Source organism: Homo sapiens, chromosome 5 (assembly GCF_000001405.40).
Source record: "Homo sapiens chromosome 5, GRCh38.p14 Primary Assembly".
In the NCBI taxonomy this organism is placed as follows: Eukaryota; Metazoa; Chordata; class Mammalia; order Primates; family Hominidae; genus Homo; species Homo sapiens.
This window is the reverse complement of record NC_000005.10, coordinates 96,091,845-96,116,659: the sequence shown is the minus strand read 5'-3', so window position 1 is coordinate 96,116,659 and position 24,815 is coordinate 96,091,845. Positions and strand designations below refer to the sequence as shown.

The 24,815-nt window shown below is 39.5% G+C and overlaps 1 protein-coding gene and 1 long non-coding RNA gene across 14 annotated transcripts in view; both read right to left on the bottom strand.

The window, feature by feature from the left end:
• Positions 1–24,815, bottom strand: part of CAST (calpastatin) — an 813,255-nt gene that overhangs the window by 658,024 nt on the left and 130,416 nt on the right. For 10 of the 13 annotated variants that reach the window (NR_186779.1, NR_186780.1, NM_001423254.1 and 7 more), the window contains one exon: positions 5,655–5,726. The exons of the other annotated variants lie outside the window; for them this stretch is intronic. The gene's annotated coding sequence lies outside the window, so the exon portion shown is untranslated. The remainder of the gene's footprint in view (positions 1–5,654; positions 5,727–24,815) is intronic. 13 annotated transcript variants of the gene reach the window in all.
• LOC101929710 (uncharacterized) overlaps positions 1–24,815 on the bottom strand; it is a 669,085-nt gene that overhangs the window by 514,426 nt on the left and 129,844 nt on the right. The window lies entirely within an intron of this gene.

Here is a 24,815-nt window from a genome sequence, read left to right as displayed (position 1 = left end):
TCAAGAAAATGTACATTAAAACTACAACAAGAACGACCAGTAAACATCTACTAGAATAGCTAAAGTTAAAAAGACTGACAATATCATATGTTGCCAAGGATAAGAACAACCAGACTCTAATATATTGCTGGGGAGTACAACACAGTATAGCCACTCTGGGAAACAGTATGGCAGACCCAGCAAACCCACTTCTAGGTATTTACCCAAGAGAAATGAAAACATATTTCCACACAAAGAATTTTACATGAATACTCATAGCAGCATTATTGATAATTGCCAAATACTGGAAATAACCCAGATGTCCATCAACTGGTGAGTGGGTAAACAAATCAGAGTATATCTATGACATGAAATACTACTTATCAATAAGAAAGAAAAAACTACTGATCAAAACAATAATACAGATGGATCTCAAAAGCTTTATATTAAGCAAAACAATCCAGACTAAGAAGACTATCATATTGTATGATTCCATGTATATGACAATCTGGAAAAGGTAAAACTAGAGTGACAGAAAGCAAATCAATGGTTACCTGGAGCCAGAGGTCAGGAGAACGGATAAAATGCAAAGGGGCACAAAGGCTACTTTCTAGAATAATATAATTTATCTATATCTTGATTATGGTAAAAGTTATAATAGCTATCTACAATTACCAAAATTCATTAAACTGTATACTTCAAAGAGAAATTTATTTTATGTAAATCATACCTCAATAAAGCTAAAAAAAAAAAAAAAGAAAGAAATGACCATGTCAGGAAGTCTTCATTTCCTCCTGTTGTTCTACAAAATCTTGCTCTTTGAAATAGTCTGGGTACTTCACAATTTCGTAACAGATTCGAGGTGTCCTTTCAGAATGAACCCATTAAACATTGTACATCTGTGATATGTTTTGATATTGTTTTAGGTCAATAAGACACACCAGAAAACTGTAACAATGATTTGACTTTCTCCTTAGTCACCTTCAGAACACCATTTCTTAAAGCAGGAAGACCACATCTAAAGCTGGTATACTCACAGTGTAATGCAATTCAACAAGCCTTTATTGAGTGAGTGTCTGCTGCCTTGAACTCTGGAACCAGACTGCTATTAAATTGATTCTAATTACAGGTCTACCACTGAATAGTATCACCTTGGACAAGTTACTTATCTGTGCTTCAGCTTCCCCATCTATAAAATGGAGGTAACAGCCATGCCTACCTAATAGGGTTGTTCTGAGGAATCAATGAGTTAATTCATTAAAAGTGCTTAGAACAGGGCCTAGCCCATAAACAATCACCTTGCCTTTATCATTAGGTGTGTGGTGCTAACACTATACAGACAGATAAGACAGGGTTTGTTTTTATTGTTTGTTTTGATGAGCTCACAGTTCAGCAGAAAGAAAGAGAACGAATAACAACATATCACAAGGGACACAGAGAGAAATGTTTAAGTACTGTTGAGAGCACAGATGTGTGAGCAACTTCATAGTGGTAGTGGGGAGCTTGTCAAGGACTTACAAAGAGCAACTAAGTTTTGGAGGAAAAACGGGAGTTCTTCAGACAAGAAAGAATGCAAGCAATAGTTATGATCATGTACTAAATATCTGTTAAATGCTATACACTCTGCTATCTATATATTTTACATGGGCCATTTCTCTTGTAATTGTTGCGATAACCCCATGAGACAGATACTACAGAACCCATTTTACATATGAGCAAACTGAGTGTAACACATTGTGAGTCACTTGCTTGAGGTCACACCACTAGTACATACCTTAAACAAGAATCCAAACTGACTCAGAAACTTGAGCAGAGAAAACAGCATTGCAAAGCATGTGGCTAGTTTTGGGAAACTGGAGAGCTCAATGTGATTAGAACACAGATCAGTCTAGAAAGATGAGGTCTTAGGGGCCCTGCAACCAGTAACTATATCTTAGACAGGCAACTCCATTACGCTTCTCCCAGGCAGAAAGCCTCTTATGGCCTGCTGCTTCAGTGGGTATTATTTAGTAAGCATAGTCTTCCTTCATTAAATCATGAAATCAGCAGTAGAGGTTTCTTAACATGTGGTTCAATGATCATATGTGTCAGAAGCCCTGGAAAATTTGTTAGAAATACAGATTTTCAAGGTACCACACAAGTCTATAGAATCAGAACCTCTTTGACCCGTAAACACTCCTTTTTAGTAACCTTTTCACGAGTTTCCTATATTCACCAAAGTTTGAGAGCCTCAGTGGTGGCAGATTTACTCAGAACTCTTCCTCTCTGGGCTCCAAGAGCTGAGCTCTCAAACTTCAATGTACATACAAATCCCCTGGGAATCCTTTTAAGAATCAGATTCTGATTCAGTGGGTTGGAGGGATAAGAGGACTGAATTCTGCCAGGTGTTGTAGACATTGCTGGTCCACAGACCACTCTAGGGGTCACAGGGTTGTAGAATATCCCACCCAGATTTCTTCTCTGCTTCTACTATCTCTCCTGCTCTTGTTTGTCTCCAGAATACTTTTCCTTGCCCAGGTTTAGTGCACCTTAAAACAACCTTCTATTTACTTACTGCCTAAAAATGTTTTACCTTTGCTGAGAGAAGATGATCAAACTGTTTTTATTTTCATACACTTATTGTTGAAAAATGGTACTTTAAAAAACATGTTTCTTGGCTCTCTGAAATTCTAGAAGAGCCTAAGAGGTCAGGCTAGTAGTATAAAAAATAGAGGGACTGATGATGACAAAAGTGTGAAAAATGAACTTTCTTTTGTGATATAATGCACATAGTCATCTGGATCAATTAACATTTTCTTCAACACACTCTTTTAAATAACATAACGAAACTAACAGCCCTGCCATCTCTGGAGTCATCAAGGATTGACTAAGGAGGAGTCTTAGTCAGAATAAATCTCCTTATTTAGAACTTAAAAACCTGAGCTCTCTGGTCTCCTGTGCAGACATGCTCTGGAAGCCTCTCCTTACTGGCACTCCTGCAAGGAAAGAGCTGTGTACAACCAGCTGCCAAGGCTTCAGCTCCCTGGCACCAGGCAATGGCAAAAGCCACTCCAGCTGAAAGGCGTCTTTTGCCCTCTGGGTGAGAATGGCTGCTTTAGAAAATGGCCTTAAGTTCCTAATGGCACTAAGTTCCTAAAACTTTCTTTTTTCTCTGAGCTATCATATTTTCAAAGCATTAATCCTTGCAAAGGTGCAAGACTCCCACTTTATATTTTGCAGTGCATTTCCTAATGTGTGTCTACTAACCTGGACTCATTCCTGGCTTTGCAATTCAGTTACTTTATCTTGTGGTTCAAACACTTCTGTTTGTTGTTCCCACTTAATTCAGATAAATTAAATAGGCACTTTCAGGAAGGGGTTGGATTACCCACTCTCTATAAAATAGACAGGCCTGCATGCCAAGGATTACCTAGAGACAATTTATTTGATTTGGTGCATTTTAGGTGAAGGACATAATTTGGTCTCAAATTCCACATCTTTGCCCTGAAGTCTTAGTTCTAAGACTAAAAGAAACCACCAATCCAATTTCTAGCCTGCTGTTAAGAAGCATGCTGTCAATGTAGAGATAAATCAATACTTTGAAACAAAACTTAAGACTTTCTTTGGTACTTAATAAGCCCTTCTAGATGGGATCAACCATCTATGGGAGAAACCAAGGAGGATTCTAAACAAATTTGGGAAATACAGATGGTCCCTGACATAATTTTTTAACTTGACTATGGTGCACAAGTGATGTGCATTCAATAGAAAGAGATATGATATTATCTCTCTCCATCTCCCGCCATGCTGGACAGCAGCAATGAACCACAGTTCCCAGTCAGCCGCATGATCATGAGGGTAAACAACCTACACTCTACATTGTACTATGTTGTCACATGATTTTGTCCAGTTGTTGGCTAACATAAATGTTCTGAGCACATTTCAGCTCATCATAGCTAGGCTAAGCTATGCTATTTGGTAGCTGAGGTGTATTAAATGCATTTTCCATTTATACAATATTTTCAACTTAACAATGGGTTTATCAGGATGTAACCCATTTGTAAGTGAAGGAACATCTCTAAATATAGTTCAATTTTCTCTCGTTTCTGCTTCCCTCTTCATGACTTACCCCAGTTATTCATTTAATATTTTTTCTTTAATAGCAACTATGTATTATACACAGTTAGGATATATATATGTAACTTTAAATAAGTCAAATACAGTCCCTGCTCTCACAAAATTTATCCTCCTAGTGGAGGATATGGGAGTAAGCAATCACAATATAATAGGTTCCATTTTTTATTTACAGTAATTGCCAACCAATCTTTGCCATGATTTGATGTTTACTTTCACTCAGTAGGTTCCAGTTTACAAGGCTGGTTATTACTTCCCAGGCAGGATCACTATGCCTGCAATTTGTATAGCTGCTAGGGGACAAAATGGAGTCCTGAATTAGGTAATATATTCCCACTGGCTTTCCCCAGACACACCTCTCAGAATATTAATAATTGAGAATATATTAACATATTATTATTGATTGAATATTAATAATTGAGAATTGGTAATTTAGAATATAATTATTAATAACTGAGAATATATTAATAATTGAGTCCATTTTTCTTATTGTATAAAAGAAGCTTTTATTAAACTAATAATATAAATAGAAAACTACTCATTAACATTTCTAATTATAAAAAACTATATAAAATATATATAGTTTTAAAACTACATAAAATAAAGTTTAAAAAAATGCACAGCTGGGTACAGTGGCTCATGCTTGTAACCCCAGCATTTTGGGAGGCCAAAGTGGAAGGACTGCTTGAGGTCAGGAGTTTGAGACCAACCTGGGAAACATAGCAAGACAAATTTATTTACTTACAAAAATAAATAAATAAAGCAAATCCATACAAATAAATTGGTGCCCTCCAACATATAACCTTGACTCCCATCAGTACTTGCTGAATGTAGCTTTGCTTCTTAGGTACTGTGATGTTGTGATATAATAATAAATAAATATTTGGTCTTTGTCCCCAGTTCCTGGCACAAAGCTTCTAAAACACTAGCAACTTCCTGAGTAATAGAAGTGAAAGCAGCATCTTTCATTGTTCATAATAAGCCACTTCCAACCACACCTGAGTTTATGCTAATGAGGTGAGTCTTGAAGGATGGAGGCTGGTTACCAGAGGAACCAACTGTGTGTTTAGAGGATTGAAACCTTCAGCCCCATCTGGGGAGGGAAGAGGAGCTGGAGATTGAGCTAATCACCAAAGGCCAATGATTTAATCAATCATGCCTACATAATAGAGCCTTCATAAAACCCCTAAGCAAAGGTATTGGGAAAGTGTCCAGGTTGGTGAATGTGTCCACTTGCCAGGAAGGTGATGCATCCAAAATTCCACGGATACAGAAGTTCCTGTACCTAGGACCATTGGCTGGACTTTGTCCTATGAACCTATTCATCTGACTGTCATACTGTTCATTTGTATCCTTTAGAATATCCTTTATAATAAACCAGTAATACGAAGTGTTCCTCTGAGTTCTGTGAGTGGTTATAGCAAATTATCAGACTTGAGGAGGGGTCCACGTAGCCAGGTCAGAAGTATAGGTAACCTGGGGACTCACTACTTGTGATTGGCATCAGAAGTGGGGAGCAGTCTTGTGGGACTGAACCCTTAACCTGTAGGGTCTGCACTCACCTTGGGTGTCAGAATTAAATTGAATTGTTGATCCCCAGTTGGTCTCTGAAGAGAACTCGAGAATTTCTTGGTCTAGAAAATCCATATACTTGGTGTCAGAAATGTTGTGAGCAGAGAAACTGTTTCCCATTAGGCCCAAACAAAATTTCTCCCTGACTTGATTTTTTAGAATTGAAAACATTTAGCTATACTCATCTGATTGTGCTCTGGAGCTGCTAAGTGAAAGCTGACCTCTTTGACCTGCTTACTGAGATTAGACATCTCCAAGTTTGTAACCATCTCCTTCCCTAATCACCTAGGCAGGCCTCATTTTCCCCATTCTGTAATTGTATGGTTAATTTTACTAACCTTCCCACCTGGAGAATGCTCCTTCCTCACAGTTGCCCTCTCTTTCCTGATTCCTTGTACCTCAGCCAGAGTAAAAAGAACAGGAGACTGAAGTTATATAAATGTGAGGAAATCATCCAGTGATAATCTCTTCAAAGCAGTAAAAACTATGACCCTTGACAACCCCTCCAGCTAATTCACTCTGAGCCTTTTTCTGAATGGCCCATTTGTTTGAGAGGTAATTTATATATAATGGTAAGATTACTGTAACCATGATTTGTATATTCAGATCTTACTTTATCAGAGGATTATCTTTATTGATTGATTTTGAAACTATATTTCTTCTCAGAAGAAATTGAGATAACTTGAACAAAAAGCCACACATACAATTAAACTGTAAGATCAAGAAAAGCACACGGGTAAATAAAACAAGAGAAAAAACCTGATGATAAAACTTCCCAGAACCAGCCACCCCCACTGTAATTTGTGGAAATCTATCCTGATAAACCATCTGCAATCTTGAACAGTATTTATTTGGTGTTGTATGTCACCCCATTCTCTAATGTATGGAGAGTTTTTGGGAACTGGAGATGTATCTTAGTCAACTTTTTTATTCTAGGGGCCTTGGCAAAGTGCTAGACACAGACTGGATTTTCAATAACAGTTTCTTGCATTCACTCCGAATTTCTAAATTTCCACTCGATTTCTTCTAAAAGCGGTGCTTTATTTTTTTTCTTTTTTTTTTATCATTTTTACATGTACTTTAAATATACTAAAATAGAACCATTTTGAAACACAGTTTTATGTGGTTTCTTTCCTATGATATTAAGACGTTAGTTTATAAAGAATTAAGATGTGGTATCTTCCCCAAATAATTTGTATTTTTAAAGCCCAGGGAAAACTACTCTACCGCTTCTGCATCCTCTTTCAATTTGCTGCCCCCTCATCAAATAAATCCTCCACCCACCAGACAACTTTGCCACACAGGTGTGCAGAAGATACAATCTTCAAGCCAGAACACTTCCTTCCCACCTCTCTTGACTCTTCACAGATGGGAACATCACCCCCACTCCTGCTCAGAAATATTAGCAAGTGAAGATCCAACATTTTGAATCCAAAAGATTGCCAAACACTCTTAGAGGACAACTGATCACTGCCAAAAAGCATTTGTAAATTCCACAACAAACAATTTATCTTCGAGTCTCAAAGCCTCATCAACATTTTCTAGTAAGATTCCAGATTACAAAGAAAAAATTGTAATGGCTTTCATTACACAATTTGGTTTTGGAAAATGTAAAATTTATATCAAGGTAAAACTGATTACATTTATTCTTTATTATAATTATTTCCTAATGCAAATATCACTAATAACATCTGTGTTTTTGCCAAGCATGTTTAAAAATGTTATAATTCTGATAGAAAGCATGTTGGGAGGAGCCAAGATGGCCAAATAGGAACAGCTCTGGTCTACAGCTCCCAGTGTGAGCGACACAGAAGACGGGTGATTTCTGCATTTCCATCTGAGGTACCGGGTTCATCTCAATAGGGAGTGCCAGACAGTGGGCGCAGGTCAGTGGGTGCACGCACCGTGCGCAAGCCGAAGCAGGGCGAGGCATTGCCTCACTCAGAAAGCGCAAGGGGTCAGGGAGTTCCCTTTCCTAGTCAAAGAAAGGGGTGACAGACGGCACCTGGAAAATCGGGTCACTCCCACCCAAATACTGCGCTTTTCCGATGGGCTTAAAAAACGGTGCACCAGGAGATTATATCCCGCACATGGCTTGGAGGGTCCTATGCCCACGGAGTCTCGCTGATTGCTAGCACAGGAGTCTGAGATCCAACTGCAAGGTGGCAGCAAGGCTGGGGGAGGGGCGCCTGCCATTGCCCAGGCTTGCTTAGGTAAACAAAGCAGCCGGCAAGCTCCAACTGGGTGGAGCCCACCACAGCTCAAGGAGGCCTGCCTGCCTCTGTAGGCTCCACCTCTGGGGGCAGGGCACAGACAAACAAAAAGACAGCAGTAACCTCTGCAGACTTAAATGTCCCTGTCTGACAGCTTTGAAGAGAGCAGTGGTTCTCCCAGAATGCAGCTGGAGATCTGAGAACAGGCACACTGCCTCCTCAAGTGGGTCCCTGACCCCTGATCCCCGAGCAGCCTAACTGGGAGGCACCCCCCAGCAGGGGCAGACTGACACCTCACACGGCCGGGTACTCCAACAGACTTGCAGCTGAGGGTCCTGTCTGTTAGAAGGAAAACTAACAAACAGAAAGGACATCCACACCAAAAACCCATCTGTACATCACCATCATTAAAGACCAAAAGTAGATAAAACCACAAAGATGGGGAAAAAACAGAGCAGAAAAACTGGAAACTCTAAAAAGCAGAGGGCCTCTCCTCCTCCAAAGGAACGCAGTTCCTCACCAGCAATGGAAAAAAGCTGGACAGAGAATGACTTTGACGAGCTGAGAGAAGAAGGCTTCAGATGATCAAATTACTCCAAGCTACGGGAGGACATTCAAACCAAAGGCAAAGAAGTTGAAAACTTTGAAAAAAATTTAGAAGAATGTATAACTAGAATAACCAATACAGAGAAGTGCTTAAAGGAGCTGATGGAGCTGAAAACCAAGGCTCGAGAACTACGTGAAGAATGCAGAAGCCTCAGGAGCCGATGCGATCAACTGGAAGAAAGGGTATCAGCAATGGAAGATGAAATGAATGAAATGAAGTGAGAAGGGAAGTTTAGAGAAAAAAGAATAAAAAGAAATGAACAAAGCCTCCAAGAAATATGGGACTATGTGAAAAGACCAAATCTACGTCTGATTGGTGTACCTGAAAGTGACAGGGAGAATGGAAACAAGTTGGAAAACACTCTGCAGGATATTATCCAGGAGAACTTCCCCAATCTAACAAGGCAGACCAACATTCAGATTCAGGAAATACAGAGAACGCCACAAAGATACTCCTTGAGAAGAGCAACTCCAAGACACATAATTGTCAGATTCACCAAAGTTGAAATGAAGGAAAAAATGTTAAGGGCAGCCAGAGAGAAAGGTCAGGTTACCCACAAAGGGAAGCCCATCAGACTAACAGCGGATCTCTCGGCAGAAACTCTACAAGCCAGAAGAGAGTGGGGGCCAGTATTCAACATTCTTAAAGAAAAGAATTTTCAACCCAGAATTTCATATCCAGCCAAACTAAGCTTCATAAGTGAAGGAGAAATAAAATACTTTACAGACAAGCAAATGCTGAGAGATTTTGTCACCACCAGGCCCGCCCTAAAAGAGCTCCTGAAGGAAGTGCTAAACATGGAAAGGAACAACTGGCACCAGCCGCTGCAAAATCATGCCAAAATGTAAAGACCATCGAGACTAGGAAGAAACTGCATCAACTAATGAGCAAAATAACCAGCTAACATCATAATGACAGGATTAAATTCACACATAACAATATTAACTTTAAATGTAAATGGACAAAATGCTCCAATTAAAAAACACAGACTGGCAAATTGGATAAAGAGTCAAGACCCATCAGTGTGCTGTATTCAGGAAACCCATCTCACGTGCAGAGACACACATAGGCTCAAAATAAAAGGATGGAGGAAGATCTACCAAGCAAATGGAAAACAAAAAAAGGCAGGGGTTGCAATCCTAGTCTCTGATAAAACAGACTTTAAACCAACAAAGATCAAAAGAGACAAAGAAGGCCATTACATAATGGTAAAGGGATCAATTCAACAAGAGGAGCTAACTATCCTAAATATATATGCACCCAATACAGGAGCACCCAGATTCATAAAGCAAGTCCTGAGTGACCTACAAAGAGACTTAGACTCCCACACATTAATAATGGGAGACTTTAACACCCCACTGTCAACATTAGACAGATCAACGAGACAGAAAGTCAACAAGGATACCCAGAAATTGAACTCAGCTCTGCACCAAGTGGACCTAATAGACATCTACAGAACTCTCCACCCCAAATCAATAGAATATACATTTTTTTCAGCACCAGACCACACCTATTCCAAAATTGACCACATAGTTGGAAGTAAAGCTCTCCTCAGCAAATGTAAAAGAACAGAAATTATAACAAACTATCTCTCAGACCACAGTGCAATCAAACTAGAACTCAGGATTAAGAATCTCACTCAAAACCGCTCAACTACATGGAAACTGAACAACCTGCTCCTGAATGACTACTGGGTACATAATGAAATGAAGGCAGAAATAAAGATGTTCTTTGAAACCAACAAGAACAAAAACACAACATACCAGAATCTCTGGGACGCATTCAAAGCAGTGTGTAGAGGGAAATTTATAGCACTAAATGCCCACAAGAGAAAGCAGGAAAGATCCAAAATTGACACCCTAACATCACGATTAAAAGAACTAGAAAAGCAAGAGCAAATACATTCAAAAGCTAGCAGAAGGCAAGAAATAACTAAAATCAGAGCAGAACTGAAGGAAATAGAGACACAAAAAATTAATGAATCCAGGAGCTAGTTTTTTGAAAGGATCAACAAAATTGATAGGCCGCTAGCAAGACTAATAAAGAAAAAAAGAGAGAAGAATCAAAAGACACAATACAAAATGATAAAGGGGATATCACCACCGATCCCACAGAAATACAAACTACCATCAGAGAATGCTACAAACACCTCTACGCAAATAAACTACAAAATCTAGAAGAAATGGATAAATTCCTGGACACATACACTCTCCCAAGACTAAACCAGGAAGAAGTTGAATCTCTGAATAGATCAATAACAGGATCTGAAATTACGGCAATAATCAATAGCTTACCAACCAAGAAGAGTCCAGTACCAGATGGATTCACAGCTGAATTCTACCAGAGGTACAAGGAGGAACTGGTACCATTCCTTCTGAAACTATTCCAATCAATACAAAAAGAGGGAATCCTCCCTAACTCATTTTATGAGGCCAGCATCATCCTGATACCAAAGTCGGGCAGAGACACAATCAAAAAAGAGAATTTTACACCAATATCCTTGATGAACATTGATGCAAAAATCCTCAATAAAATACTGCCAAACCGAATCCAGCAGCACATCAAAAAGCTTATCCACCATGATCAAGTGGGCTTCATCCCTGGGATGCAAGGCTGGTTCAATATACGCAAATCAATAAATGTAATCCAGCATATAAACAGAACCAAAGACAAAAACCGCATGATTATCTCAATAGATGCAGAAAAGGCCTTTGACAAAATTGAACAACCTTCATGCTAAAAACTCTCAATAAATTAGGTATTGATGGGACACATTTCAAAATAATAAGAGCTATCTATGACAAACCCACAGCCAATATCATACTGAATGGACAAAAACTGGATGCATTCCCTTTGAAAACTGGCAAAAGACAGGGATGACCTCTCTCACCACTCCTATTCAACATAGTGTTGGAAGCTCTGGTCAGGGCAATCAGGCAGGAGAAGGAAATAAAGGGTATTCAATTAGGAAAAGAGGAAGTCAAATTGTCCCTGTTTGCAGACGACATGATTGTATATCTAGAAAACCCCATTGTCTCAGCCCAAAATCTCCTTAAGCTGATAAGCAACTTCAGCAAAGTCTCAGGATACAAAATCAATGTACAAAAATCACAAGCATTCTTATACACCAATAACAGACAAACAGAGAGCCAAATCATGAGTGAACTCCCATTCACAATTGCTTCAAAGAGAATAAAATACCTAGGAATCCAACTTACAAGGGATGTGAAGGACCTCTTCAAGGAGAACTACAAACCACTGCTCAAGGAAATAAAAGAGGATACAAACAAATGGAAGAACATTCCATGCTCATGGGTAGGAAGAATCAATATCGTGAAAATGGCCATACTGCCCAAGGTAATTTACAGATTCAATGCCATCCCCATCAAGCTACCAATGACTTTCTTCACAGAATTGGAAAAAACTACTTTAAAGTTCATATGGAACCAAAAAAGAGCCCGCATCGCCAAGTCAATCCTAAACCAAAAGAACAAAGCTGGAGGCATCACACTACCTGACTTCAAACTATACTACAAGGCTACAGTAACCAAAACAGCATGGTACTGGTACCAAAACAGAGATATAGATCAAAGGAACAGAACAGAGCCCTCAGAAATAACGCCGCATATCTGCAACTATCTGATCTTTGACAAACCTGAGAAAAACAAGCAATGGGGAAAGGATTCCCTATTTAATAAATGGTGCTGGGAAAACTGGCTAGCCATATGTAGAAAGCTGAAACTGGATCCCTTCCTTACACCTTATACAAAAGTCAATTCAAGATGGATTAAATACTTAAACGTTAGACCTAAAACCATAAAAACCCTAGAAGAAAACCTAGGCATTACCATTCAGGACATAGGCATGGGGAAGGACTTCATGTCTAAAACACCAAAAGCAATGGCAACAAAAGCCAAAATTGACAAATGGGATGTAATTAAACTAAAGAGCTTCTGCACCGCAAAAGAAACTACCATCAGAGTGAACAGGCAACCTACAAAATGGGCGAAAATTTTCGCAACCTACTCATCTGACAAAGGGTTAATATCCAGAATCTACAATGAACTCAAACAAATTTACAAGAAAAAAACAAACAACCCCATCAAAAAGTGGGCGAAGGACATGAACAGACACTTCTCAAAAGAAGACATTTATGCAGCCAAAAAACACACCATCACTGGCCATCAGTGAAATTTTCACACCATGAAAAAATGCTCACCATCACTGGCCATCAGAGAAATGCAAATCAAAACCACAATGAGATACCATCTCACACCAGTTAGAATGGCAATCATTAAAAAGTCAGGAAACAACAGGTGCTGGAGAGGATGTGGAGAAATAGGAACACTTTTACACTGTTGGTGGGACTGTAAACTAGTTCAACCATTGTGGAAGTCAGTGTGGTGATTCCTCAGGGATCAAGAACTAGAAATACCATTTGACCCAGCCATCCCATTACTGGGTATATACCCAAAGGACTATAAATCATGCTGCTATAAAGACACATGCACACGTATGTTTATTGTGGCATTATTCACAATAGCAAAGACTTGGAAACAACCCAAATGTCCAACAATGATAGACTGGATTAAGAAAATGTGGCACATATACACCATGGAATACTATGCAGCCATAAAAAATGATGAGTTCATGTCCTTTGTAGGGACATGGATGAAATTGGAAATCATCATTCTCAGTAAACTATCGCAAGAACAAAAAAACCAAACACCACATATTCTCACTCATAGGTGGGAATTGAACAATGAGAACACATGGACACAGGAAGGGGAACATCACACTCTGGGGACTGTTGTGGGGTGGGGGGAGGGGGGAGGGATAGCATTGGGAGATATACCTAATGCTAGATGACGAGTTAATGGGTGCAGCACACCAGCATGGCACATGTATACATATGTAACTAACCTGCACATTGTGCACATGTACCCTAAAACTTAAAGTATAATAATTTAAAAAAGAGTTATAATTCCCATCCTTGATAATATGTTTAATCATTAACATATCTGAAAATATTTCTGCCCTCCAAATTTTAATAAAAATATTTTTTATTAAAAAACAACTATTGATTTTGTATCCACCTTTGACAGAATTTCTATGACATGAATCTTTATCCATTTTATTTACTGATATTCTCCTAAACCCTTAGATCAGTGCATGGAACAAAATATTAATAGGTACTAATTAATAGCAATACTCTTTCTCTTCTTGTCCCATAGTTATTTTCTTATCTCCACCACTGCAAAAAGAGCAGCCTCTCATTAAGCCTCCCATAATAGATTGGCAGTTTCTTGAGATCTTATTCATTTTCTTAAGCAACTAAATGAGAAAAGGATTAGGAAAAGGTTTAAACTGGAGGCAATAAGATGTTGAATGAATGGAAAATAAGCCTATGAAGTTGAAGGAACTTAGACAATTTAGTCAAAAAAAAAAAAAACCCCAAGAAAACTAGAGAGAACAAATAGTCATAAACAATGCTGGTTAGGCAAGAGGTTCATCACAAAATAGCTGATAACAGTGATAGAGGCCGGAGGCAGAGAAATGCTAGGCAGGCAGGGGCGGGTCCCTGGCAAAACTCCACCTTCGAGCCAAAATTCCTGAAACCCACGGCCCAAAGTGAGAATTTCTATCCCTATTTGCCTGCTCTCTCCTGATTGGTTATTTCTGAATATTGTCTTTTTACCAAACAAGTATTGCCCCCCATCCTGTGCCTATAAAGACCCCAGACTCAGTTAGTAGGGGAGAGAACTGGCTCGACTGGAGGTGACTTGACTTCAGAGGGACGGCTGGACTTTGGAGGAGAGAGGGCTTAACTTCGGAGAAGAGCCAGCCAGAGCCAGACAGACTTCAGGGAAGATTATCTGCCCGTCCTGTCCCCTCTCCTGCTCCCTTCTACACTGAAAGTCACTCCATCGCTAAATAAAATTCTCTGCCTCCACCATCCTCCAAGTGACTTCATTCTTCTTGGATGCCAGACAAGAGCTCAGGACCCACCAAGTATGAGCACCCAAAAAAGGCTGTCACACTGGCCCTTTGCCCTCCCTGGAGGAGGGCAGCCACCCCACACAACAAGGGAAGGGATCCAGTGAGCTGATAACACACCACTGTCCACAGACAGCAGAGCTAAGAGAGCATTACAACACACCCCCTCAGGCTTCCAGGGTTGTAGGCACCCCAACCTGGGTGCCACAGGGCTCACACAAAGCCTGCTCCTGCCAGTGCCCAAAGCAGCCAGCCATATCCTGCACTCATTCGCTCACACCTGGTCTGGCTGCAGGGATGGCATGAAGCCTGCTCCTGCTGGTGCCCAAAGCAGCTGGACAGATCCCACATTCACTCGCTTACACACTCCTTCCCACAAGATGTTAAAATTTTTTGTAAAGATGGAGTCTCGCTTGGTTGCTCAGGCTGGTCTTGAACTCCTGGCCTCAAGTGATGTTTCCACCTTGGCCAAAGCGCTAGGATTACAGGCATGAGCCACCATGCCTGGCCATTTGTCTGTGCGGTGGGTCAAATAAATGAGGCACTTCTGTCACAAGTCTGACAAAGGGATCAAGAAAAAGTCCTACAACAATAGTACAGGTGGTGGGAGAATCGGGAAGACAGGCAGCTGGGAACTGTTGTGCTGAGAAGCACAATGGATGATGTCCAAAGAATGTGGTGAACTCCTCTATGTGGCAGGTAACATACGTAAAATTTGTAAGCAAGCAGGCAATGGTTTCATGACTGATGGGAAGCCAGTAATATTTACAGTGAGAGAGGCTTATACTTATTGAGCACTTTCTACATATCTCACATGTGTTGTCTCATTTAATTCTTACAATTCTGTAAGGTAAATACTATTATAGTCAGCCTTCCATATCCAGGGGTTCCTCATACTCAGATTCAACCAACCTAGAAAATATTCAAAAATAAATACATAAATACAGTAAACAAAATACAAATAAAACAAATGGCCAGGCACAGTGGCTGATGCCTGTAATCCTAGCACTTTGGCCAAGGCAGAAGGATCACTTGAGGCCAGGAGTTTAAGACCATCCTGGGCAACAAAGCAAGACTCTGTCTCTACAAAAATTTTAAAAATTAGCCAGGTGTGATGTGTGCCTATGGTCCCAATGGCTGAGGCAGAAGAACTGCTTGAGCCCAGGAGTTTGAAATTACAGTGAGTTATGATCACATCACTGCATTCTAGTCTGGGCAACATTGAGACCCTGTCTCTTAAAATACATATATATATACACACACACACATATTTATTTATTTATATTTCATATATGTTGTACATAATATATATAGTATAACAATTATTTACATAGCAATTTAGAGATTAATAAGTATGTAAGATATGTGTAGGCTATATGCAAATACCTCATAATTTTATATAAAAGACTTGAGCATCCTCAGACTTTGGTATCTAAGGGGGATCCTGGAACCAACCCCCAACAGATACTGAGGGATTACTATACTTCTTTGCCTTACAGATGAAGAAACTAAGGTAAGAAAAATGAAGAAGATAAGATGAAGAAATTATGGTGTGGTTATGTCACTTGCCCAAGCCCACCCAGGTAGAGAGTGCACAAGCCAGCTTCCAACCTAGGCAGTTTAAATCCAGAGCTGGCTGCTGGCAACACAGTATACTCCACTCCATGTGCTATAGGAACAGTCAGTGGTAGAGAGTCCAGAGAGCAGGCCATAGGCAAGAAGGGGCAAGAACCAGGCAGTAAGTCAGTGGGCTAAAAGTTGTGGGCTAAGGCTCAAGACAGACCACAGATCCAGTGAAAAACTGGAACATTATGCTGGTAAACTGAGGCAGAAGCTAGCATGTCAGGGGAAGGAAGGAGAGGCTCCAACAGAGTCACACAGCACTCACATCTAATACACCAAATACAACCTGTGTGTGGTAGGACTCAAGCCAGATGCGGGAAAATAAGACTAAGGCCACTGACATACTTCCAGGCCTGTGCAGTACTGTGGCAAGAAAGAGGCTAAACCTGCAGCAGGGTACCTGGGAAGATCAGCTAATCAGGCATTGCTAGCCCTCACACATTCCACTAGCCCAGGGCTCAGAAACTGAAGATAACTTAAGAAGAGCCTGAGCACCATCCCAACACTGAACAAGGAAGAAACTGAATCCCTGAACAGATCAATAACGAATTCTGAAATTAAGGCAGTCATAAATAGCCTACCAACCCAAAACAGGCCAGGACCAGAAGGGGTCACAGCTGAATTCTACCAGATATACATAGAAGAGTTGGTACCATTCCTACTGAAACTATTCCAAAAAATTGAGGAGGAGGGACTCCTTTCTAACTCATTCTATGAGGCCAGCATTATCATCCTGATACCAAAACCTGGCAGAGATATAACAAAAAAAGAAAACTTCAGGCGAATATCCTTGATGAACATCAATGCAAAAATCCTCAACAAAATACTGGTAAACCAAATCTAGCAGCACATCAAAAAGCTTATCAACCATGATCAAGTAGGCTTCATCCTTGGGATGCAAGTTTGTTTCAATGCATGCAAATCAATAAACGTGATTCATCATATAAACAGAACTAAAGACAAAAACTACACAATTATCTTAATAGATGCAGAAAAACCTTTTGATAAAGTTCAGCATCCATTCATGTTAAAAACTCTCAATAAACTAGGTACTGAAGGAATATACCTCAAAATAATAAGATCCATATATGACAAACCCACAGCCAATATCATACTGAATAGGCAAAAGTTGGAAGCATTCCCCTTGAAAATCAACACAAGACAAAGATGCCCTCTCTCACCACTCTTATTCAACATAATATTGGAAGTCCTGGCCAGAGGAGTCAGGCAAGAGAAAGAAATTAAAGGGCATCCAAACAGGAAGAGAGGAAGTCAAACTCTCCTTGTTTGCAGACAACATAATCCTGTATCTAGAAAACCCCATTGTTTCAGCCCAAAAGCTTCTTAAACTGATAAATAACTTCAGAAAAGTCTCAGGATACAAAATTAATGTCCAAAAATCACTAGCACTCCTATACACCAACAACAGTCCGGCCAAGAGCCAAATCAGGAACTAAGTCTCATTCACAATTGCCACAAAAAGAATAAAATACCTAGGAATACAGCTCACTAGGGAGGTGAAAGATCTCTACAAGGAGAACTACAAACCACTGCTCAAACAAATCAGAGATGAAAGAAGCAAATGCCAAAACATTCCATGCTCATGGATAGGAAAAATCAATATCGTGAAAATGGCCATACTGCCCAAAGCAATTTATAGATCCAACACTATTCCTATTAAACTACAATTGACCATTCTTCACAGAAATATCAAAAACACTTAAAAATTCATATGGAACCAAAAAAGAACTGGAATAGCCAAGGCAATCCTAAGCAAAAGGAACAAAGCTGGAGGCATCACACTACCCAACTTCAAACTATACTACAGGGCTACAGTAACCAAAAAAGCATGGTACTGGTACAAAAACAGTTACCTAGACCAGTGGAGCAGAATAGAGAACCCAGAAATAAGACCACACACCTACAACCATCTGATCTTTGACAAACTTGACAGAAACAAGCAATGGTGAAAGGATTCCCTATCCAATAAATAGCGCTGGGAAAACTGACTAGCCATATGCAGAAGATTGAAACTGGACCCCTTCCTTACACCACATACAAAAATTAACTCAAGATGGATTAAAGACTTCAATGTAAAACCAAAAACTATGAAAATCCCAGAAGACAACCTTGGCAATACCATTCAGGACATAGGCACGGGCAAAGATTTCATGATAAAAGACACTAAAAGCAATTGCAACAAAAACAAAAATAGACAAATGGGATCCAATTAAATTAAAGAGCTTCTGCACAAAAGAAACTATCAACAGAGTAAAAAGACAACCTACAGAATGGGAGAAAATATTTGCAAACTATGCATCTGACAAAGGTCTAATATCTAGCATCTATAAGGAACTTAAACAAATTTACAAGAAAAAACAAACCCCATTAAAAAGTGGGCAAAGGACATGAACAGACACTTCTCTAAAGAAGACATACATGTGCCCAACAATTACATGAAAAAGCTCAAATTACTGATCATTAGAGAAATGCAAATCAAAACCACAAGGAGATACCATCTCACACCAGTCAGAATGGCTATTGTTAAAAAGTCAAAAAATAACAGATGATGGTAAGGTTGTAGAGAAAAATGAATACTTACTCACTGTTGGTGGGAGTGTAAATTAGTTCAACCATTATGGAAGACAGTGTGGTGATTCCTTAAAGACTAAAGACAGAAATACCATTTGGCCCAGCAATCCCATTACTGAGTATATACCCAGAGGAATATAAATCATTCTATTATAAAGATGCATGCATGCATATGTTCATTGCAACACTATTTGCAAGAGCAAAAACATGGAATCAACCTAAATGCCCATCAATGATAGACTAGATAAACAAAATGTGGTACATATACACCATGGAATACTATGCAGCCATAAAAAAGAATGAGATGATGCCCTGTGCAGGGACATGGATGGAGCTGGAGGCCATTACCCTTAGCAAACTAACACAGGAACAGAAAACCAAATACCACATGTTGTCACTTGTAAGTAGGAGCTAAATGATGAGGATACATGGACATATAGAGGGGAACAACACACTGTGGCCTTCAGAGTGGGGAGGAGGGAAAGAATCAGGAAAAATAACTAATGGGAACTAGGTTTAATACCTGGGTGATGAAATAATCTGTACAACAAACCCCATGGCACAAGTTTACCTATATAACAAACCTGCACTTGTACCTCTGAACTTAAAGTAAAAGTTAAAAAAAAAAAAAAAAGACTTTGAGCTCATCCTACCTTGAAATCCCAATTAAGAACTGGGTGTGGCTCATGAACTCCACAGCAGACACAACTAATTCAAAAAGGCTAATATTATAACTAAATCAGAGCCCTCCAAAGCTCCAAAGCTCATAGTGAGCAAACTATGAAAGCTCAAAGAGCTTCCCCATTCACTTAGGATAAATCATTTCTTTGGAAATCATTTCTTTGGAAAGGCTCAATTATTTAGATCAAAGTCTCCTAGAATCACCTACAAAGCTTTTAAGACATATTCCTGGGTCCTACGTCAAACTTAATCAAAATATCAGGTGGCAGTGCAAAGGAAATTATATTTTTTTAAAAGGACCCTGGAGAATTTCGATGATCTTTATGACTCATATGCATGAATAAATGCAAAAGACTGCCAACAGGAGTCTATTGGCAAGAATTTTTTCCAAGAGTAGCATCTTTCACCAGCTCTGACAGAGACAATGCCACTGCCCTGTTTAGATCACTAGTGTGGGGTTGTCACTTCATTTCATGTGATCAAGTACTTTAGGGATCTGCTGGACCCAACCAAAACTAGCCCTTCATTCAGATGGTAGAGGCCATCTGGAGTCAGACACTTCTGCTGCAGACGGTAATGGAAAGGGTCTTAAACTGGGCCTTCAAACAAGAGGATTTGAGAATGATGCAGTCAACTGTGGATATATAGGAAATAGCTTACTAAATGGCTAAATAAAATGGAAACAAGATTGCAGCTATCACACAGAGAGGTTTGGGTAGTGACTAAGAATTCCTCTTCCCTAAAGTAATGACAGTTGTTCAGCAGGAATGGTTAGGCCAATGGCTTTGTTCCCCTCCCTTTCCCTGGGTCTTGTTCTATCACCTTCCTTTGTCCTTTTCTGTGTGGCAGGGATTGAGACAGTGGAGGGCTGATGTTAAAGCTCTGGGACCAGTCTCTCTAAATAAGAATAACAGTTAACTTTTACTAAGCCCTTAGGACTGTAGGGCTTTGTCCTCAATTGTTTACAAGCATTATTTCATTTAATGAACAACTTTAGGTCATTTGAATGACTTGAGCAGCAAAGGAGCCTCTGATGATTTATTCTAAAGATCCAAAGTTTCTTGTCCTTATCTTCCAGTATACATGGAGGTTCCCTGCACAGTAAATGGCAAAAAGCTATTTCTACCTCCTTTTAGGGCAGCTTCAGAGGAAGTTTACTTGAATCACACCTTCCATGATTGAGATTAGGTAAAGGATGAAGTTACTGATAATGAGGTTAGGTCTTTCACTGTGGCCTGAGTACCACATAACCCATTCTGGTATCTTCTTCCATCTGAATAGCTGATGTCTACAAAATCAATTAAACTGGCTATATTTTGGCCAAAACAAAGAGGAATATGGTTACAGAGTTGGATCAACCTTGTCAACAACTGCTTTTTTCTGTTATTTAAATACAATCTAAGTTGCTAAACACTAGAATTAATAATAAGGAAAAGTTGGGCTCTCTTTAAGGATTTTTTTTTAATGTTATGTCTTTTCTGAAGATGTTTTCAGTGGGTCTTTGTCAAGAAGATAGGGACAAGGAAGAAAGAACCAAGGTCTCTTCTGGTCAAGGAATGTGATGATTCTATCATATTCAGATGCAATTTCTTTTTGGTGCCTAGCATATCTTCTTCAAACTTAAAATGAGGAGTATTGTTGATGATTTGCCACAGGTTAAAGTAGAGAATGTATCACCCTTTCATATAATAGGTCTTTTTTTTTTTTTTTTTTTTTTTTTTTTTTTGAAACAGAGTCTCTGTTGCCCAGGCTGGAGTGCAATGGCACAATAATAGCTCACTGCAGCCTGGAACTCTTGAGTGCAAATGATCCTCTTGCCTCAGCCTCCCAAGTAGCTGGGAATACAGGCACCTGGCTAATTGTTTTTTTTTTCTTATAGAAACAGGGGTGTCTCTATGTCACCCAGGCTGGCCTCCAGCGATCCTCTCACCTGGGCCTCCTAAAGTGCTGGGATTATAGGTGAGCCACTACACCTGGCCAGAATTCTACCTTAGAACACTTTTACAAGTGTTCTAAAGACAAGCTGATCAAGAAACCTTAATTGGGGGAGAAAAAACAAAACAGCAAACCACACCAAGTGTGTTTGCAAACCAGCATTTCCTAGAGCCATGTGGCTGCATTTTGGTCAAAATGCTGCATTTGCAAAAATGACTGACACAAGATACAGCCTAAATCCAACCATTTCACCCTTTTCTTGCACAATGACCTTGGCTCTGAGCCAAAGTCCCAAAAAGCAAGAAGAAGTTACCATTCCAGGCAGCTAAATATAGTAAGAGAAATGGAATACTCATTTTTTTCAAGGCAAGCAGGCCATTGTAAGAAGCAAAACAAGAATTTGGGTTTGCTGGATGATTTAAATAACTATAAGGAAGACTTTTGTAGCCTAATTACTTCACAAGAGCTAACAGCCAATGGAGAGTAATATGCAAGCCTCTGTATTGCTTGTTGTAATACACAAGTCCAAACCGTAGAGAACCAATGTCACGTAATTTAAAAATAAAACATGTAAACAAGTTGGCAGGTTTGCTGAGCCTGACTTCTTGCCCAAGCTCTTCACAGTAGAGTGAGGAAAAGTCATGATTTAAAGTCAAACAGCTAGCGTTCAACACCCAGCTCACTTCACCTCTCTCAACTTTTCTCCATATCTTTATCAGTAAAATGGGAATGATAATTCTATCTACCTCATAAGATCACTGAAAGTATTAAATATTTCACTACATAAATGTTTGCTGGCATTAGAAAGACTCGCAGCACAGCTCTCTTCTAAGTGTATCTTATTTTCAGCCTATATCAGGAGAAGGAGATATGGCAGTAATGGAATCAAATGTCCCTTGGACCAGAAAGGAAAAAAAAAAAAAGGTCACCCTACTGTAAAAGATTTGCAGTCCTTTGTGCCCTAGAATCTTCTTAAATTTCATCAGTCTCCTAGTGAGTATTACTGGCTCCCTTAGTCATATATATGAGTTAAACAATTTCTAATGCCACTCTCTCAATGCCAAATCTTTGGAAATTCACTGGGCATAAGGGGTGGATCAACATGACTACATTATTAGTCAGAGAACAAACATTCTAGGTAAGTAATTTGGTTTTCTCCCAAAGATTAAATACGTTTCCACCTGTGGAGACTAATGGGCTCCAGGGATCTTTTTCTGTGTATTTAACAACAAGATAACTAAGTGGCAAAGTCAATAATCAGACAGTAGGTGCAAGTAACCAACTAACTTCCTTACAAATAGTTTTTCCTTGAGGGAAATAAGGCATGCCTTTAAGACAAGGGCTCTGTAATCTGAAACATGAGGACAGGAAGATTGCCAACCAGGAATAGGTTCTAGTAGAGCAATCAGCTCAAACTCTAATCTTTGCAGGGAATGGAGTTCAGGACACAAACTTCTTTGAGCTTGGTCAGCCAGGCAAAAAGCCTAGGACTTTGAATAGTTTCTTCTCTCAATCTACCAAATCTAAACAATTACCCTAGTGATTTTCCCTTTGAAATATATTCATAGTTTCTTCTTCTTTTCTATCTGTACTTATCTCTCTCATTTTACCATCTCCTGCCTAGATACCCATGGGCCTCATAAGTAGTTTTCCAGACCCTTCAAACCCATACTGCCAAACACTGTCCAAGTGACAGTATCAAACAGGCCTCTGTTAAGATACGCTGTAGCTCAAAATGCAAGGTGCAGCTCCCTGTGGTCTCTAAGTCTGACCTCTTTTATCACACTTCTAAGGTCCTGCATAATCTTACAGCACCCTACCAGCTGGGCTTATTTTCCAGTCAGACTGGCTTCCTCGCCAGGCACCCATGAACACGCAAGACATGCTCCACCCTGCCCATTGTCCCTTCACTACTTAACAGCTGCTGCTGGCTCTTAGTGGAATGCCCTGCTTCTCCAAATGCACACAAAGCCATACTCATTCTTCAGGACCTAGATTTAACCTTTTCTTCCTCCTGCACTGCTCAATAAACATTTTCTCTGTACCATGTACTGTATCACTTAACAAAACAGCTGTATATTGTTCACCTGTTTCATATATGCCCTAGACTTGTCTCCATAACTAAATAAAGAATTGGGTCACCGAATGCTGATCCTCATGCCAAATATGATCCCAAACACATCTAGTTTGGTCCCTCATTTTTTTTATTTTAATTTGAGAAATGTAACACAACCCCCAGCACTGCCTATAGAATTTTCTCAATGATATCAATCTTCACACATCAATCTTTAAATTTTTTAAATTAAGAATAACAATATCTGAATATGTGTCAATAAAACCTCTAAATCTTGACTGTAGGAGAAAAGGCATTGGGTGAATTGGAAAAATCGCCGAACAATGATTAAGGAGATCTGGATTCTAGGCCCCACTCTGCCGCTAAATAGCTCTGTGATCCTAGTTAAGCTACACGGTGTCTCTCCAAAATGAAGGGGTTGGACTGGGTGACACTATGGTCTCTTTCAGCTCTTTCTATGATTCTAAAGCTGCCAATGTGGCATTAGAGCCTGGTTTGATCATGTCTGAAAAGTAGAATTTAAGAGGTTTTTCTTCCGGAAATAGAAAAGCTTCAGGGTCTTCCCTTTATAATCACAATATTAGTTAGGAAAGTTGGCCTCAAATTATTCCCCTTTATGAGATAGTATGTTATAGTAATCTTCTAGGTCAAATACAAAAGAGACAATGGGTTAATTTTCACTCTTTGAAAGTTATCATGTATATTTTAAACCAACTCAGTAATGGCCCATCTTAAATTTGGGTGTCATGAAGCTACACGATGAAGCTACATGAAAACCTAAGCCTAACTCAAGTTTGGAAGGGGAAGAGTTGAGGATGTATATTGAATGCCATGTTAGAGACCCAAGAGAATTTTATACATAAATCCTGAAAGAGCAAATGTTTTTCCTGCTTTCTAGTCAAATGTATATTTTAAGCAGTAAGAAATACTAACAAAATCTGCCATAAATTCCTGAGAATTTTTTTATTTCTTTTTATTTTCCAGTGGTCTTGAGGATAAGAGCATCGCTTTGAAAGAATAAAAAACAGAAAGCAAGTTATAATAAGGTACCTGTGAAAGATAATTTATAAAGCAATACATATATGCAGGAGAGTTTTCTAAGGGAGAGGAGTAGACAAGAAGGAAATGATGTCAAAGGGGTGTCTTCAAAGGATGTCAGTCAAATGAGAATGGTAAGTGTGTCACAAAATTAGTCACAGTGTGATTCTGCTTTGGGGATTTCATTCATTCATTCATCACTCATTTATTCATCAAGTGCTTAGGTCATGTGCTGGGCACTTAGGTTATGATAAAGGGAAAGACCTTCCCTGCAAGAACTCACCATCAAATGGAGACAGCCAAGGTCTGATTTGGTACTAACCCTGACTGAGTGCTCACTGTGTGCCAGGTACTAAGCACACCAACCCCACGAGGCAGGTGCCATTGTTAT